Source organism: Homo sapiens, chromosome 4, assembly GCF_000001405.40.
Source record: "Homo sapiens chromosome 4, GRCh38.p14 Primary Assembly".
NCBI classification, from domain to species: domain Eukaryota; kingdom Metazoa; phylum Chordata; class Mammalia; order Primates; family Hominidae; genus Homo; species Homo sapiens.
Genome location: NC_000004.12, coordinates 65653415 through 65669533, shown reverse-complemented (window position 1 = coordinate 65669533; position 16119 = coordinate 65653415). Strand labels below are relative to the sequence as shown.

Sequence of the window (16119 nt, the reverse complement as noted above, 5' to 3'; positions counted from 1 at the left end):
GACCTGGGGCGGAGGGGCTAGGCGGGGCCTGGGAGTTCAGGTCTCAGCGCGCTGGACGCTGCTGCTGCAGACTAAATCGCAGTCTCATCTCAAATTGGTATTTGTCGTCCCCTTCCACTGGCCTTTTCGCTCCCCTCTGCGGTTTTTGGTTGCATTGTTTGACGTTAGCTGCGGAGTGCTGGGCAAGGAACATGCGTGTGGACAGAGGCTGGTTGGGGGGCTGGGAAGGTGGAAAACCTTGGGGGAAAGGAGGTCGAGGCCTCCTTTGGGGAATGGAGGCCCGTTCCAGGGGGATGGGTGCGGCTGGGCCTCACTTAAGGCGCGTGGGGAAGTGACATTTCGGGCTTGAAGGAGTGGGAACTGTTGGAAGCTCAGTGACAAGGATCTCTGGAGCAGTGGGGCTTTTAGAAACCGTTATTTGAGGCCAGTGATGGGAAACGTTGTGGGGGTGGCTGGATGCTTTTATTTTTGGGGAAAGTGCCTGCTGGGAGCTGTTATTTAGGGCATCACCAGCTGCTATTCTGGGGTGGGTGGCAGGAGCTTTTATTTCTCGTGGGAGGGGTATAGCGAAGGACAGAAGGCGCCCCACACAGTTGGGTGCCCTTCTTCTTGGGGGAGTTCATTGTCACACTCAAGCCAAGGTGGAAGAAGGCGAGAAGGTGGGATGCCGCGGCAGGAGGGGTGAGGGGGAGTGTCGCTGCTAGGAAGTTGCCGCTAAAACCCACCTGGGCATGTCTTAAAGACGGAAAAGACCTGCTCTGGCCAGCACCTGATCCAGGAGTACCCAGTCCCCCTCCCTACCCCCAATCCTGTGCTCCAGACCCAGAATACTGTCCCTGCCTTTTTCTGGGAGAGTAGAGCTGGCGCGGGAGCAACACCTGTGTCGCTCTTCGTGCTCCCGGAACAGTGCTCAGCCCCTCTGTCCGCCTGCCTCTTGGACCTGAGACCTCTGCCTTTGGGTCCCCTCCAGCAGCGCTTGCTCCTCTCCCACACCCGGACTGAGCTCGGGTCTCAGCCCAAGGGCGCATTACTCGCGGAGGGGCGGGAACAGTATCTCAGATCCAGATCTGTCAGCTCCACCATGAAAACATAGAAAAACCTACCCACTTTGGCTAGAATGGTGAGGTTTCGGTTTGGGGCTGTGGATGCGACGCGTGAGGCTCAAAACCTTGCAGAAATTCCTTCCACTCCTGGGCACGGGACACTAGACCGGAAAGATGAAGCAGCAGTGGTGGAGTCGTGTGTGTCCTCGTGACTTGCATGGGTTCAGTCTCCGCTGTAGGAGAAGGCGCTGAGCTGATATCCCAGCAATGCCAGCTCTAAAGGAAGGGTGTGAAAGCAGGGCAGATAGAGGCTCCCCTGCCCTCATCCCATGAACTTTCTCTTTAACCTCTAAGTTTATTTTTTAAACGCTAATTAAAGGCTTATGTGTATTTATCTGCATTTATCTATATACATATATATAGCTATCTCTCATGCTTAAGCCAAACAATTGGGTATTTTCCCTTTCTGATAAAGTTGAAAAAATGTTTTTGAGAGTCGTAGACCTTTTATTAACACCTTATGTTAAATTCATTCTGTTAGACGTCTGGAGGATTATAACAGCTTTGGAGGAGGCTCTTTTATTAACTGTCTTATTCCACCGAAAGGGGCATCCTCGTTTGAATTTGAAGAGGTTTAACAGTAATATCATTCATCCTTTCGTGTTTCCGTTAGATTTCAAGTCCTCTCTCCAGGTGTGATGGAAGGGGAGAACTTAGGTGGAGATGAAAGGGAGTCGCTCTTGGTTAGAAAATTGGAAGAATTCAATTCTCAGGGAGAGTGACACTGAATGGGAACAAGAGCCAAGACTGTGCAGGGAGGAAGAGGCAGAAGGAAAGAGAAGGAAGGAGAAATAGCGCCGGTCTCCTAAGGTGTTGAAGGCAGAGCTGGAATCTTGTGGAACACAGCCTGGCTGTTGTTACAGATTTAACACCCACAGATTGTATTGTCTTACCTCATCTAGTCCGTCACACAGCAAAACTTGGACTACACGGAGATGGGGCTTGGGGATCTAATCAAAAATGAGATGTACCTTACCACCTGGTGCTCTGAAAAAAGCCTGCTGTTTGGGGCACATTTTGTAATATGTCACTATTATACTTAATTGGAAATAAAATTGTGTAAATATCTATGTCATTATCTAATTCATCCTATCTCAGCTGAGCAGTTTTCCATCTTTCCACCTAGTATCCTAGATCTTTATTTCTGCTCTGTGAAATATAGATTCTTCTCTTCTTGTTTCTCCATGCTATTGCTATAAATTGAGCAGCAGAGTGTATTAAAATATTTATTTATGCTAAAATATTCATAAAATGTTTGGGCTTTTTTAGAGATTCAGATTAGAGTTTTCCAATTTGTTTGTTTGCTTCTGGAGGGACTTTGGAAGGTCAGGGGGCAGAAAGATTTCATGTATATGCTGAACTCATTAATCACTTTTTCTCATATAATTTGACTTCTGCAATCTATAGATGCTTAGTGATTTCCCAAAGACTGTGTGTGTATGTGTGTGTGTGCGTATTATGAATGCTCCCATTATGTGAAAAAAAGTTTTAAAACATACAGAATAAATGTAAGTGTATATTCATAGCTGCTATTCTAGTCATTTCTTAAATTTAACTTTGTTAGATATAACCAAGCAGAATTGAATAGAAAAAGCCAAACATATATCTGGAATTTTGGACTGATATGAAATGTGTTTATTTGGCATGTTTGAATATGTTGGATAGCAGACAATAAGAGGAAAATTTACCCTTTAGTCTAAATTCTAAGCAATTTATAAGATAAATATATCCTTAGTAGTTTTAGTATATTAGTCATAAACTACATGTGAAAGGAATATTTGATCTACAGTATAATATTCAAAACTTTTTTATTATAAAAGATTTCAGAGGTATATTTAGAAACAGACTTGTCTCTGATCAAGCAGGACAAATATTAGCAAGTGTATCTGCAAGTGAAAATTTAAATAAATTTAGTAAGTAAAGGGTTCATGTCCACTGCTATGAATTTTGGAGGTGGCCCTGAACTTATTCAGTAGCTGCCACTTTTTGCTGTCTGGAGATATATTTGTAAACAAGCATTATTTGACAAGTGCTTTTCACAGCAGGGATTCTTGGCCAATTACTGCTGAACAGCCCTGCATTGAAAATGATTCACCCGCAGTGAATCAAGCTTAATTCATTGAAGCTACAGTCAGTAATGTCCCAGTAAAGTGCTTCTGACAGTTGTCAGCAGTTTGGATTTAAAAAGTCCAGTTTCTTGTCTCTGAATGTTTTGTATGTTTAAGAAAGTGGGGTAGAAACACATAAGGTGGGAAGAAAAGGCTAAACTGCCTGAAAAACTATCATAAACTTGTAAATGTTTTCCTTGGAAAGATAAAAAAGGAAAAAAAAAGTTTGTTTTAGGGTTTTTCTTGGCTTATAATAGAACCAGGCCCATAAAATAGATTGGAGGACATAATAGATTTGTAAAACTAAATGGCTTTATTCTGTGGCCTTGTCATCCTGTTGTAATTCATTTCCTTTTAGATAAATCCGCAGGACCCCACAGAAAAAAGGACAGTAAAATCATTTCCTCACCAGGACATTACTGAACAAGAAAAGAGAGCTATTACCCCTATTTGAATCATAGATTGTTGAAACTACAAGGGACCGTGAATAGTTTTGGCTTTTTGCTTAATAAACCATGAAAAGGGGACCTAGGTCTTGACATTTTAAGCTCCTTTTGAGGTAGACAAAGATCTTCTTGGGTGTTAGGGTGACAGGTAAGAGGATTTCATTTACTCATATAAGACAGAGAGGACAGTGAACAATTTCTGCATTTAAAACAAAGATTTTTCTTTGATTGGAAATATTCTTCTTGTAATATTGTCATCTGGAAATACTGTTGGCTCTTTATTCCAATTCACATAAAATATAGTTGGTATGGAAAAAAAGGTGCACTTTTTACACCTATAAGAACATTATTTACTATAACATATTGATATTATTATGCTCTATAAAATGTGACCACTTAGAGTATGTGTTTTTGTATCTTTACATGCAAAATCAAAATGAAATGATATAGCTGTTTATAGCAAACATTTCCAAACTTTTTAATTAAATATTTTATTCAGAATTGATTGCTACCATTGAGAAAATAACTATGCTTTAGTTATTTCCACCACACTTTTGTTGATTGACTCTACCACTTGAATCTCCTTTGTCTGGAGTGCTTTTTTAAATGTATTTGCTTGAATGGCAATTAGTTTCTTTTTCATTTGGTAGAAACCTTTCTACCTTTGACTGTAAAAATAGAGTATAATGTACATAATTATATTAGCTAACTATAGCTGTTATCCTTTTTATGAGTCAAATTTAATGTTCTTTTTTCAAAAGAAAAATATCGTGTTCATACTTCAAAGAAATAATTGCTGAACAAATTATTGATAACTCTTTAGACATTATTTTTTCAATTTAAATTAGCATATATTTAATATATTCTATTTTACTAATGAATAGTTCCAATTTAAGTTAGCAGGGGTACCTACTTAAAGATTATGACATCATTTTAAGCAATCTTAAAATAGCTCACAATGGTTTTTATAAAGCATCAGAATTAACTGAGGTTTGAATTTCATGTCTTGCTTATTAATCAGTAAAAATTGATCGTAGTATTTGCATTTTTCTTTTCAGAAAGAGTGAATTGTGATTATAAAAGCAACATTAGAGCTAAAAATGTCAACTCTTACTTAGAAGCTCAGAATGATTCTTACTGTTATAATATCTGTAGTGAGTATATTTCAGGTGGAGAATGGCTCCTACTGCTGTGCCCTTCTGAGTAAATACATATTTATTTTATCAAAAGTTATGTAATTCATAGGATAGATAAGGGTTTCTTCAAAAGAGTTATTATAGTCCGTTGTATACTTATATACCTAATGGGATAGTTAACTGATTTTAAAAATTTATCATATGTTCTATCCTTGTGTAATTGGTACAGATATTCCTATGGGTGTACATAAAGGTAGATAAAAAGCAAAATGAGTTCTGAAGGCTTTGTAAACACAGATTAAAATGGGTTCATTTTTTAAGAAAAAATTATTAGTACCTATCTTTAAAGTAATCAACAAACATTTATTGAGTGAGATGCATTAGAGATAGAAAATACATAAATAACAAGAGATTTTCTGATGTACTAATAACAATTTTTGAAGGCATGATATGACAGTTAGAAAACTAACAATTATTAGATGTTGAAAATCTAGTCTAAATAATTGGTGCCATTGAAAATGTTTATTTCAAAATATGAATGATCTATTTTTTAAGTATTTGATTTTGAACTTCCAAAACAATTAGCATGAATTCTTAGGACAGTTTTTCTCTATTTAATATTTACTTTTAGTTTCTGACTTTCCAGACATTTGTTTGTATTCAGTTCATGAGATAGATTTTAAAGTGTTTGAGCAAGGTAAAAATGGAAGCAGTGTAGCAATTTTAAATATAAATTTTGAACATCTTATTTTTGACAATTCATTTATTAACATATGCAAAATGTTCTTGTAATAAAGAAGCTTTTACAAAAATAGAATCTGATGTCATATAAATTGTACTGTGAAATGGGTATTTCCACATGAAGCTCCAAATAAATAGTGGTGCAGTTATTTTTGAATATTAAGACTTTATTGGAATTTGCATTTTTCTTTTGACCCTATAGAATTCCCATACAGAAGTTTTATTCATTGCAATTATTCTTATCACATAAAAGAAAGATATGGCTCTATTTTTTAAATTCCTATTATAATAACAATAAGAAATATTTGAGTGGTTTAAAATGTAATTCTGATCAATTAATTTCAAGAATCAGATTTTAAAAATCGCATTTAAACTATTTCATTACCATCTTAAACAATTGTTACATGATATAATCTGTTAGTGCAAAGAAAAATAAACAGAAGGAAAAAGTGCTATAAGATACATAAGAATTTGAATTGTGTCTGGTGAAATTTGTAGTAATTGAAGGTCTTGTTTTTTGTTTTTTATTTTTTTTTCCCTAAAAGCTCAAATTTTCATCCAGTATCCCTAATGAGAATCTCAGATGTTACAAAGTCATAAAAGAAAACTGTAATTTAGTAGGTGTCCCACTTGGAGTTCTTAAAAACTCTGTGGTTTGGTATGATGACATTTATTGTCATTTTAATGTTAGTCTAACTTTGTGAAATGATTTTAAATTTATAGTGATTTAAAGAAACCATAAGCAGTCATTTCTATATTTAAAAATTGCCTGAAAACCTCTTTTAAAAAAGTGTCTATGTTTTGCCTTTAGAGTGCCATTTAATTGTATCCCAGTTTAAAAAGTCCTAGTAGATTCTATTCATAATTAAACTTTTCTGTAGCTCTTCTTTTCCTGTAGGGTTTGCAGTCTTTAGTCTCTGATCAGCTTATGTGTTACTTTATTAATAATGCTTAAATTATTAGTTATACTATAGGTGAGCATAACAAAACTTTGTCAAACAAAAGTAGAACCTAGGGCATGCCTTCTTTCCTCTGTGTCTCTCAGTGATAAAATGTTCATGCCTTTAATTGTTGTGTGTTTATTAAGCAGAGTGCAATAACTTGCCTGGAATTTTGGTGTATGTGCCCATGGGTGTGTGCTGAGTGTGTGGAAAGGTTGTTGGAAGGCTGGAAGAAAGGGTAGGGAGAGGGATGTCAATGTGGTATCACCACAAAATTGATATTAATAACAGTTTTGAGTATTGTTTTCAATCTTATTTTTAAAAAATATCACCCCTGCCCACATACACACTCTCACACACTCACATATTCTAATTTTACATTTGTTTTACTATGACCCTGAAGATAAAACCCCAGCCTAAAGAAAAAAGAATAAATAAATCCCTAGTTCATTTTGTTTCATACATTTGTTGTTGTTGTTGTTTTTTCCTTCTATTTCTCTGTAAGATCTGTTTTGTTGAGTTATGCCAAACACTTGTTGTGTTGGACACCCCACAGATTAAATAATTGGGATTAAAGTGTCTGTGATAATTCTAATTATGTTTTAGTTGCTGGACTATTGCCCAGGCCATCTTCTGCATTCATCGAGCTTGTCTTCAGTTCTAAATAAACTAGCCACACAACTCTGTTAAGTAAATGATTCTGGTAAAAAATAAAAAAAATTAAAGAGCCAAAACCTGAGGGTTGAAATATTTTACATATGCTTTGCAAGAACATGTTCCTACTTGGAAACATGTTTCAGGCTAAGTATTGGAAGATTTAGAGAAAATACAGTCTGTTCTTTTACTCAGAGATGGGTAATGTCTTTTTTCTCTTATATTAATTTTACACTCTTATTTTCATTTGTCATGTCTCTTCCCATCCTCTCTTCCTCTTTCCCTCTTTCTCTTCCTCCCTCCTTCCATCCTCCACTAAGTCAAAATGATTTAAGAGGGTAAGAGCCCCTGCCTGTTTTGTTCCAACACCCTCAAGGAAGTCAAGATTTTGGACTGTGTGTTTGTTAAGAAGATAATATATAGTCTTCTTGTAAATAAATTGTGGGACTCTGCCTGCAGAATAGATTGTGTCAAACCCAGTTATATATTTTTTCACTTAATTCATACATCAGAAGTTTGTAAGACATCTCTGTCAGTTTTGCCTTTCTTATAAGACAGCTAACTTATTTGCTTTGCAATGACAGCACCTTCCCTTTCCAGGATGCTTGTTAATGTCTTTTCTATGGAAAGGCAAACTCAGTAGGCAGATCCGGCTGGCACCAGTTCAGCCCATCAGTCCACAGCAGGAGCTTGCTTAGAGAGCCAAGTTCTAACTTGGCTTTCACCCAAAGCTTTCACCCAAAGCTTCACCCAAAGCTTTCACCATGTGTACTAGCAGAAAAGGTGAGGCTGACTGCCCAGTCTCATGGAAGATGACAATGCACTGTCATCTCACTTAAGAGTTTTTCTCTAGTCAGTGTAGTAATGCCATACTGGGTGTCCTAAGAAGGGGGATACAGCCAGACTTCTGAGGTAGAAGATACTTGAAAACTGCTGTGTTTGAAGGATTTTAACCACACCTAGTTTCGAACCATGGTATTTGATGTCTCTAGAAAGAGGGAAGGCAACAATAACAACAACAAAATTACCTTAATCATGCAGATTTGAAGTCATTGTTTTTGATTTAAACTTGTGAAACAAAGTAGGGAAAGAATTAGTCACAGTGGAAGTACAGACAGATCAACAACAACAACAACAAAAGCATACAAACAAAAACAGTTAAGAAAATCTGTTTTGAATTAAAAAACAAACATGGTTTTAGTTTTTGTTTGTGCTAGTCTCTAACACTTACTAACTCTAAATTATTTGGCCCTTATATATTTATTTTAAACTTCAACTCAATTATCTGTATTACGGCAATAATGGTACTGCCTACTTCATATAATTGCTATGGAAAACAAATGAAATAAAACCATTTTCTAATTATTAGAGCAATACACAAATATAGGTTGTAGAGGAGCAGAGGAAGCCTGGGAATATAACTGAATAAATGCCCTACATGGTCTCTGTGTGTTACTCTTTGTTTGCTGGGTAAGGGTAAGAATAAAAGATTATGTTATGTGAGGGAATTCCATTAAGAAACGGAGTAGAAAAATATTCTACTTTGCAAGTTTAACAGAAATATGGATTTTATGAACACTTTGCTCATGCCTCAAGTGGCCCATGTCCTTGAGGGTCCTGTATCTTAATTTTTATTAACTTCATGATAATTATGCCTGCTGTGGGGTAGCTCAGAATGGGGAGATGTAGAGACCAGGAACCCAGCTCAACCATGGTCTTAGACAGTGGTATGGTCTTGAACCATCCACCTCAGATTCCACACAGTTAAAATGAAGATGTAAAGGTACATCCAAAAGGTTGCTGTGAAAATAAAATAATAATGTACCTATGTAGCCTAGTAGGTTTCCTAAAGCCAAGTGGGTACACCAAAATGTTAGTCCCTATCTTTCCTCCCTTTCTCCTATTACTACATATAGAATATTTGAGGTATGATTTCACACTCACAGATCGTCATCTTCCTGACACTGTACGATTAAAAGGAATCTAGGCTTGGAAAACAATCTGAGAAAAGGAATTCATATACACATTTTCTATAGAGCTATCCAAGGTGAAAACCAACCACATGACATTATCTTGATTTTCTGTTGGTTTTCCCCATTATTTAATATCGAATATTGGAATTTGATTAGGAAATAAATGGAAACCATCAGTACAAGGTCATGGGTTGTAAATGTTGTATTTTACCTCATTTGCCCTCAGGTAGACTGGTAGAGGGCAGAATTTTTTTAAAAAATTTTGCCACAAATCATATCAAGAAATATGTTCAAATATTTTGAATATTTAGTCCTATAATAATAGTATGTTATCAGTTTCACTTTTAAATACACACACACGTATATGTATAAAATGTCATATATATGTAGAGTCTGTATAGAAATTCATTAAAAGGGCATGAGAAATGCTGCTGAAAGTGGACAGTTGGAAGAATTAGATTCTTAGAAATTACTAATATTGTAAGTCGACACCTCTACCTTTAGTTTGAAATATGTAGATGTCTCATCTGTTCTATTATTTGCACAGTTAAAAATATTACCTGGAAATATAATTGAATTTTTATATTTTCAAAAGGTATTAATGTAATTTTATAAGGCTTAGCTTTTTTACTTAGGTGAGCATAAACAGGTAAAATAAATTTGGAATGTATTATATTTAGATCCACTTTTAAAATGTATGCGTGTGCTTGCAGGCTCACAAATGCACACATGTGTATAAAGTAATCATAACTAACATTTATTATTGACTTACTGGGTGGGGGACATTGTTCTAAGTGGTTTACGTATGTATTAATTTATTTTCCTCAAAACAAGTCTTAAAAAATGTATGTGAGGTCTTGGAGATATTTCCTCTCATACTTAGTCATAGCTATAATTTTTTCCCTCTCATTAAACGCTTGATCAGCTGCTGGTCATCATACTCTTACACACTAATTTAACTCGTATTAACATCTTCTCTCTTCATTGTCCAGATCCCCACTGGCACAAGGGGAGAACTGTTCCCACATATTTTCCTCTTTCCAATTCACGGCATCTATGCTTTACCTTTCCTGTTTTTTTTTTTTTTTTTTTTTTTTTTTTTTTTTTTTTTTCTGTTACTCTAGTATATAAACAATCCAGTTCCCAGTCTCTAGCCCAGACCAGACACTCTATATCTCGGCATGCATACCCAAAATCCTATTAATAAATTGTTTAAGAAGTGCTATCTATTGCTGATCACTACCTCTTGCTCTGTTAAAAATAGAGGAGAGTTTTTAAAATAGTTTTATTCTAACTCATGATAGATTATATTATTTTGGGCAGCACTACTTTTTATAACAAGAGAGAAGACAGAAAGGTTTCCTGGAAAATGTACTCACCTTTCATCTCCTGTCCAAGCCAACCCTTTGGATGCTTTTTTCCTCCTTTACATACAAGGTTATATTAAATATTTTATAATCAATATTTTGTAGCATATATTATGAAAAATGGTATTCCACATGAATCTCATAATAGAGCCTGTAGAATAGATTAGAGAAGCTCAATGTTATAAATTAGGGAGCTGAAACGAGAGTTTGATCTATTAAAAAATTAGAACTAGTATCAAAGCCAATTTCTTATTACTGAAGAATCAGTGCAACATTTTAGCTGAGGTATAGCAAAATTGTAAAAACACGGGCTCAGGAACCTGGCTCAACTACTTAGAGCTGTGTGACTTGGGCAAGCTAGTAAACCTCTCTGTGCCTCTGTTTTCTTGTCTGTGAAATGGGATTATTATAACAATATGGCTTAGAATTGAAAAGATTGAATTATTATTAATAATGTGCTCCATAAAAGTTCTAGCATATAGTAAATAATATATATGTTAAGTATTACATGTATTAAAACAGTGTGGGTTGGCACTCTGACATTGAGCAAGGTCTACTTTTTTACATTAGTCAGTGAGTACTGTCTAATATTCATTGCAAGTGGAAATGCCAGAAGAAAAACACTTGACTTCAGCTCAATAGCTCAAGCAGCCCTTATTTACTCCCAGGTTAAAACCTTTCAATAGTCCTCCAGTGCCCTCAGGATAAAACCTAACTACTTGAGCCTGAGTACAAAGTTCTCAGTATTTTGTTTCTGGCCCACCTCTCCTGCCTGTTCCCCTTCCCTGCACTCCAAGCTCCTGCGGTGAAGAACTGCTCTTAGTGCAATAGGATCCTATGAGCTCAGTCAGAAACACTCACCTCTTTTCTTCACTAAATAATTTGATATTTATGCCTAGGTCTGTACAAGATTTTCCCAGGATTGTGTGCCCATTTTTATTCTAGGTGTTGCCTATCATACTGAGATGGAATTGTGTTTTTGCTTGTCTGTACATTTCTGATCTTTGCTGGAAATAGAGATCCCTGTAAAAAGTAAAGGTTGACTAGAAAAAAAAGCTCTCTTCTGAACTGAGAATGGCCACTGAAATAGTATGATTTTCTAAAGAAAGCAAGTTAGTTCCACAAAAACTGGCAGTAAAATATCTTTTTTTTTTTTTTTTTTTTTTGCATATACCAAATGTATCAATATGAAGAAAGCTTGCCTGTCTGTAAACTCATTGAGTGCCACCTCCAGTGCTCGCTATTCCATATGGAATATCAGTGAAGTATGTTATAATCTATACATTTGTGTTTAGTGAACGAATATTATTAAGTAACTTATTTGTTTCTTTAAAGTCACTGCTGTTAAGTACACCAAGTCTTACCTCATTACTGTATTGCTGGTGAAGCCAACATAGCTCTTTTCATAAATCCATAACCAATAGAGTTCAGAATCTCTGGTATTGCAGTCTTTCTTAAACTGAAAAGTTACCAACTAAAAGATTCTATGATTTGCCAACCAAAGCGAGTTAATTCCAAGAAATTTGTTAGTAGAATACTGTATTTTAGATTTGCTAGACGTATAATGAGAAGAAAGTTCTACTGAGATTAGCAAGCTGCTAGAAAACAATTCATAGACATCCTGTGGTCACTACCTCTTTGTAATTTAATCAACTACAGCTTTCCCAAGACCTCTGCTTTCTTATGATAAATTCTCAGAATTCATATCACTTGAACAGCTATCAGCCAACATAACATAAATTTTTTTTGCCTTAAGCATGTCTTAATTTTACCTCCAGAAAAACAATTAATATAAAACATGTGTTTCTAAATGGTTTAAATTTCTTGGGGGGCAGAAGGATTTACTCTTTCATTTGTTATAGATTTCTTGGATTATTTTGACTGTCACTTATTTTATGAAGTACTTTAGATTTACAAGCTGGCAAGAATTCTTAATATTGGAGAGAAAACAGCAGAAACATTGTTGTTATTAATTATGTGAACAGAATAGCATTTTAAGATAGATTTACGTGGAAGAAAGTTTAAAATGTGTGATAAAGACTTTTTAAATACAGTTTGGTCAGCATCTGGTTAGCGTTTTAAATGAACTATTTCTCCAGAAAAAAAAAAAACACACACACGTTTTCATTTACTCTAAAATAATATCAAATATATCCAAAATATCACAGGGTTAATATTAGATTCTCCTAATCTATAAAAGTTCTTTGAATTAAATTTTCCTCTAGATGGGAGGGTTAAAATTATAAATGCTATGGAGACTATTACCACACAATATACAAAAAATTAGCCGGACATGGTGGCGTGCACCTGTAGTCCCAGCTACCTAGGTGACTGAGGTGGTAAAATAACCTGAGCCCTGGGAGGTTGAGGCTTCAGTGAGCCCTGATCACTCCTCTTCACTTCAGCTTGGGCAACAGAGGGAGACCCTTTCTCAAAAATAAACAATCACATTATTATATATATATTATATATATATAATATATATATAAAATGCTACATGTAAATGTAGTATACTACATATAAATAGTATGCTTCATGAGAAAATAAATGAAGATATAAAAATAATATAAATATATGCACAAGAAAACATGCATATGGAATGTGGAAATATGCATATGGAAAACTCGTATCAAGAAAATCTCACTATCATCAATGCTAAAGCAATTATATAGAAAAGTTAAGCATAAGCTTTCAGTTACACAGTTCTCACTTCCTGGTAGAAAACCTGTCAGTTCATCAGGTAACTGACATTTTTTTTTTCCAACTCTGGGGTTTGAGAGAACCCCAGTGGTGTTTTTGTTTGAAGGATGCCATGAATAATATTTTTAATTTTCACTGATTATCTGATGGATTCTTGTATGAGTCATTGTAGAAAGCCATAGACATAAAGCTAGCAGTGGTTTTAGGGACTTTTTTTTTTTTTTTTTTTTTTTAAGCAGCAGCAGCAGCAAGTTCAAAAGAAATCACTGTGGAAACCTAATACCTAAATCAGGTAACAAAAGAATTATTGGGCTTCCTGGCTGTTTTCTTGTCTCCCTTTTCCCTCCATATGCTTGTACTTCTGAGACATCTTTTTAGGATCTCCAGGCCATTCTGAGCTCAGTTTAAAAACTACTGTGTTAAAATATAAAAGGAATGTTGTATGGAAGATCAATGTGATATAATCCTGACTTGTAACTTTCTATAAATCTGCCTAAAACAGAAATTATAATATCTGGTGAAGTTTACTTTAAACCAATGGTCCCTAATGCAGAGGTGCTCATTAGAGCCAACCTCAGAATATTGTTAATTATGCTGTGTCTGGACCCACCTAAACTTATGGAATCAAAATTGATGAAAGCAAATTCTTTGGAAATCTATACTTCTGCAACTTGGAAATCTGTAGTTTTAGAACCCCCATAGATAATTCTGATCTTTATCCTTGTTAAAGAACCCTTGCTTAGAACGGAAGTACTTAAAGTGAGATGTGTACTGACACTGGAACTAGTTTGCAATTATATCAATATAAAGATTGAGAGTTAGATTTAGAGACTATTATTGCAATTTGACATTGCTACAAAATACAGCTGTGTAATAGGTAGATTCACCTCATTGAGCCAAGGCATAGCTGGCTCACTTCTAACTCTAGTTAAGTGAACATAAGAATTACTTGGGTTGGTAGTTGTGCGGGAACTTCTAAAATGCAGTTGCTTGCATTTTCGTCTCTACCTAATGTCCTGATTTTGTACTTTTAGAAAGAGCCAATGGATTTATAGTTTAAAAAAAAGTACTTCTGGTGATTTGAATGTGGGTGATAGAAATACCACACTTCAAAAAAACAGTGTATATTTACTCACATGTATATATCACTTAACATATGACTCATGCTTAGAAAATGCTATATAAATGGTTTCTATTGTTAATAAAAGAGAATATGAAAGTGTTCTAAGGATAAAGGGGATATAGATGATTATCAGGTAACACTATGTACATTAAGGAAATACAAGGTGTTAGAGAATTATAAAAGCAAGTAACACTGTGCAAAAGAAAAATGAATTCTAAGTATGATTTGATGCATATTCAATGACATAACCACTGATTTGAAAAAACTGATCCTCAAGGTATATGCTTTGATATATATACATATATCAAAGCTTATATACATACATATAAAAATAAATGTATATTTATATATATTTAATATATATAAATAAATATATATTAAAATACATATATATCCATAATGGTAAATGTTAGTTTAGATAGTTATATCCTATCTAATTTAGGATTTATAACAGAATGAAACTATCTAAATTAGACATTATAATTTAGATAGATAACTATAATTTAGATAGTTATATATAAAAATATATTTATACATTTATATATTTATGTATAAATAAATATATATTAAAAATAAATAAATATATATGTATCTGTAAATGCTAAATGTTAACTTAGATAGTTACATCCTGAGAGTCTGATTTAGGAGATTCAGATGGATGACTTCACAGGTAATATAAATTCAAAGGAGTTTCTATTCTCAGGGCCATGCTATTAGAAGACTGAATGATAATCAAGATACTTCCTGTTTTATTTACTGATGTATCTATCCCCAAGGCTTAGAACAATTCTTGGCAGTTAAGTAGATACTCAATAAATATTTGTTTAATGAATGAACCCTCATTGTAGGTGTTATATTCTATGGAACTTGAACAAAAGTTAAGGCAGTAAGTTGGACTTTCTCGTCCGTTGTGTATATATTATCTGTAGAACTATATTGGGTTACAAATAGAAAAAACTATCCAACAGCGGCTTAAAAATAGTTTTGTTTTTTTTTTTTTCAAGAAAGAAGTTGGAGGGTAGATGTCTGGTGGCTTGGGTTCTATGAAGACAGAAGTCTGTGTTTTTCTTGGCCTTACTCTCATGTTCATGGTGTTATGGTTGCAAGAATGCTAATGCATCTGCCAGTATCACAACCAATTCAGAATAAGAAAAAGGGAAAGAGAAGCACCGATAGCCATGTCAGCAGCATTATTCCTTTAGTTTAAACAACAAAACTTTCCCAGAAATTGGCAAGCAGATTGCTGTCCATATCTCATTGCCAGACCTATGTAACAAGGCTACCAGATTCAAGGGAGCCTAAGATAACAGCAGCACGATTATCATTGTTTGCTAAGACCCCTCTGATCCATGGTCTGATATGAAGCATATCACTGATATTATGATACTAAGGAAAGAAAAAGGATATGAGTAATTAATAAGCATAAAACAACGTCTGCCACAATATCACAGAAAAATGAAAGTACTTTTATTTTAATTATTTCTTTTATTTTACATTATTTCTTTTATTTTTTATTTTCTTTGTAACCTTTGAGAAAGGACAAATAGCCAACTACTGCAGTCATTTTGTGACCAAAAATCGATTATATGTACTAGGCTAACTAGACAAAAGTGATTAATACTACAACAATTTTATACAGTTAAGATATATAAACCATTGTATTTTAATAGACTAATTTTAAAATATTTTCCTGCTATCATGAATCCAGTTATTTTGAGATGGATAATTAGTTCTGAGTACTAAAATGTTTGTGATCAGCCACCTAAAATCATTTGGCACAATATTTGTACTTTGTTAGTATTTTTGTCTGTGTTACTTTATATTTTG

General features: G+C 34.6%; 1 protein-coding gene across 13 annotated transcripts in view, besides 1 other annotated feature; it reads left to right on the top strand.

Moving 5' to 3' along the window:
- The window catches only part of EPHA5 (EPH receptor A5), a 350923-nt gene that overhangs the window by 956 nt on the left and 333848 nt on the right, over positions 1 to 16119 (top strand). Inside the window, exon 1 of one of the 13 annotated variants that reach the window (NM_001318761.2) lies at positions 46 to 97. The exons of the other annotated variants lie outside the window; for them this stretch is intronic. The gene's annotated coding sequence lies outside the window, so the exon portion shown is untranslated. Of the gene's footprint in view, positions 1 to 45; positions 98 to 16119 lie in introns of those variants that run through there. 13 annotated transcript variants of the gene reach the window in all.
- Positions 896 to 1427: an enhancer, noted in NCBI's record as "H3K4me1 hESC enhancer chr4:66533825-66534356 (GRCh37/hg19 assembly coordinates)". NCBI's record gives its function as "activates a minimal SCP1, AML or CMV promoter by ChIP-STARR-seq in naive H9 embryonic stem cells {active_cell/tissue: H9 hESC(naive)}" and the evidence as "EXISTENCE:reporter gene assay evidence [ECO:0000049][PMID:30033119]".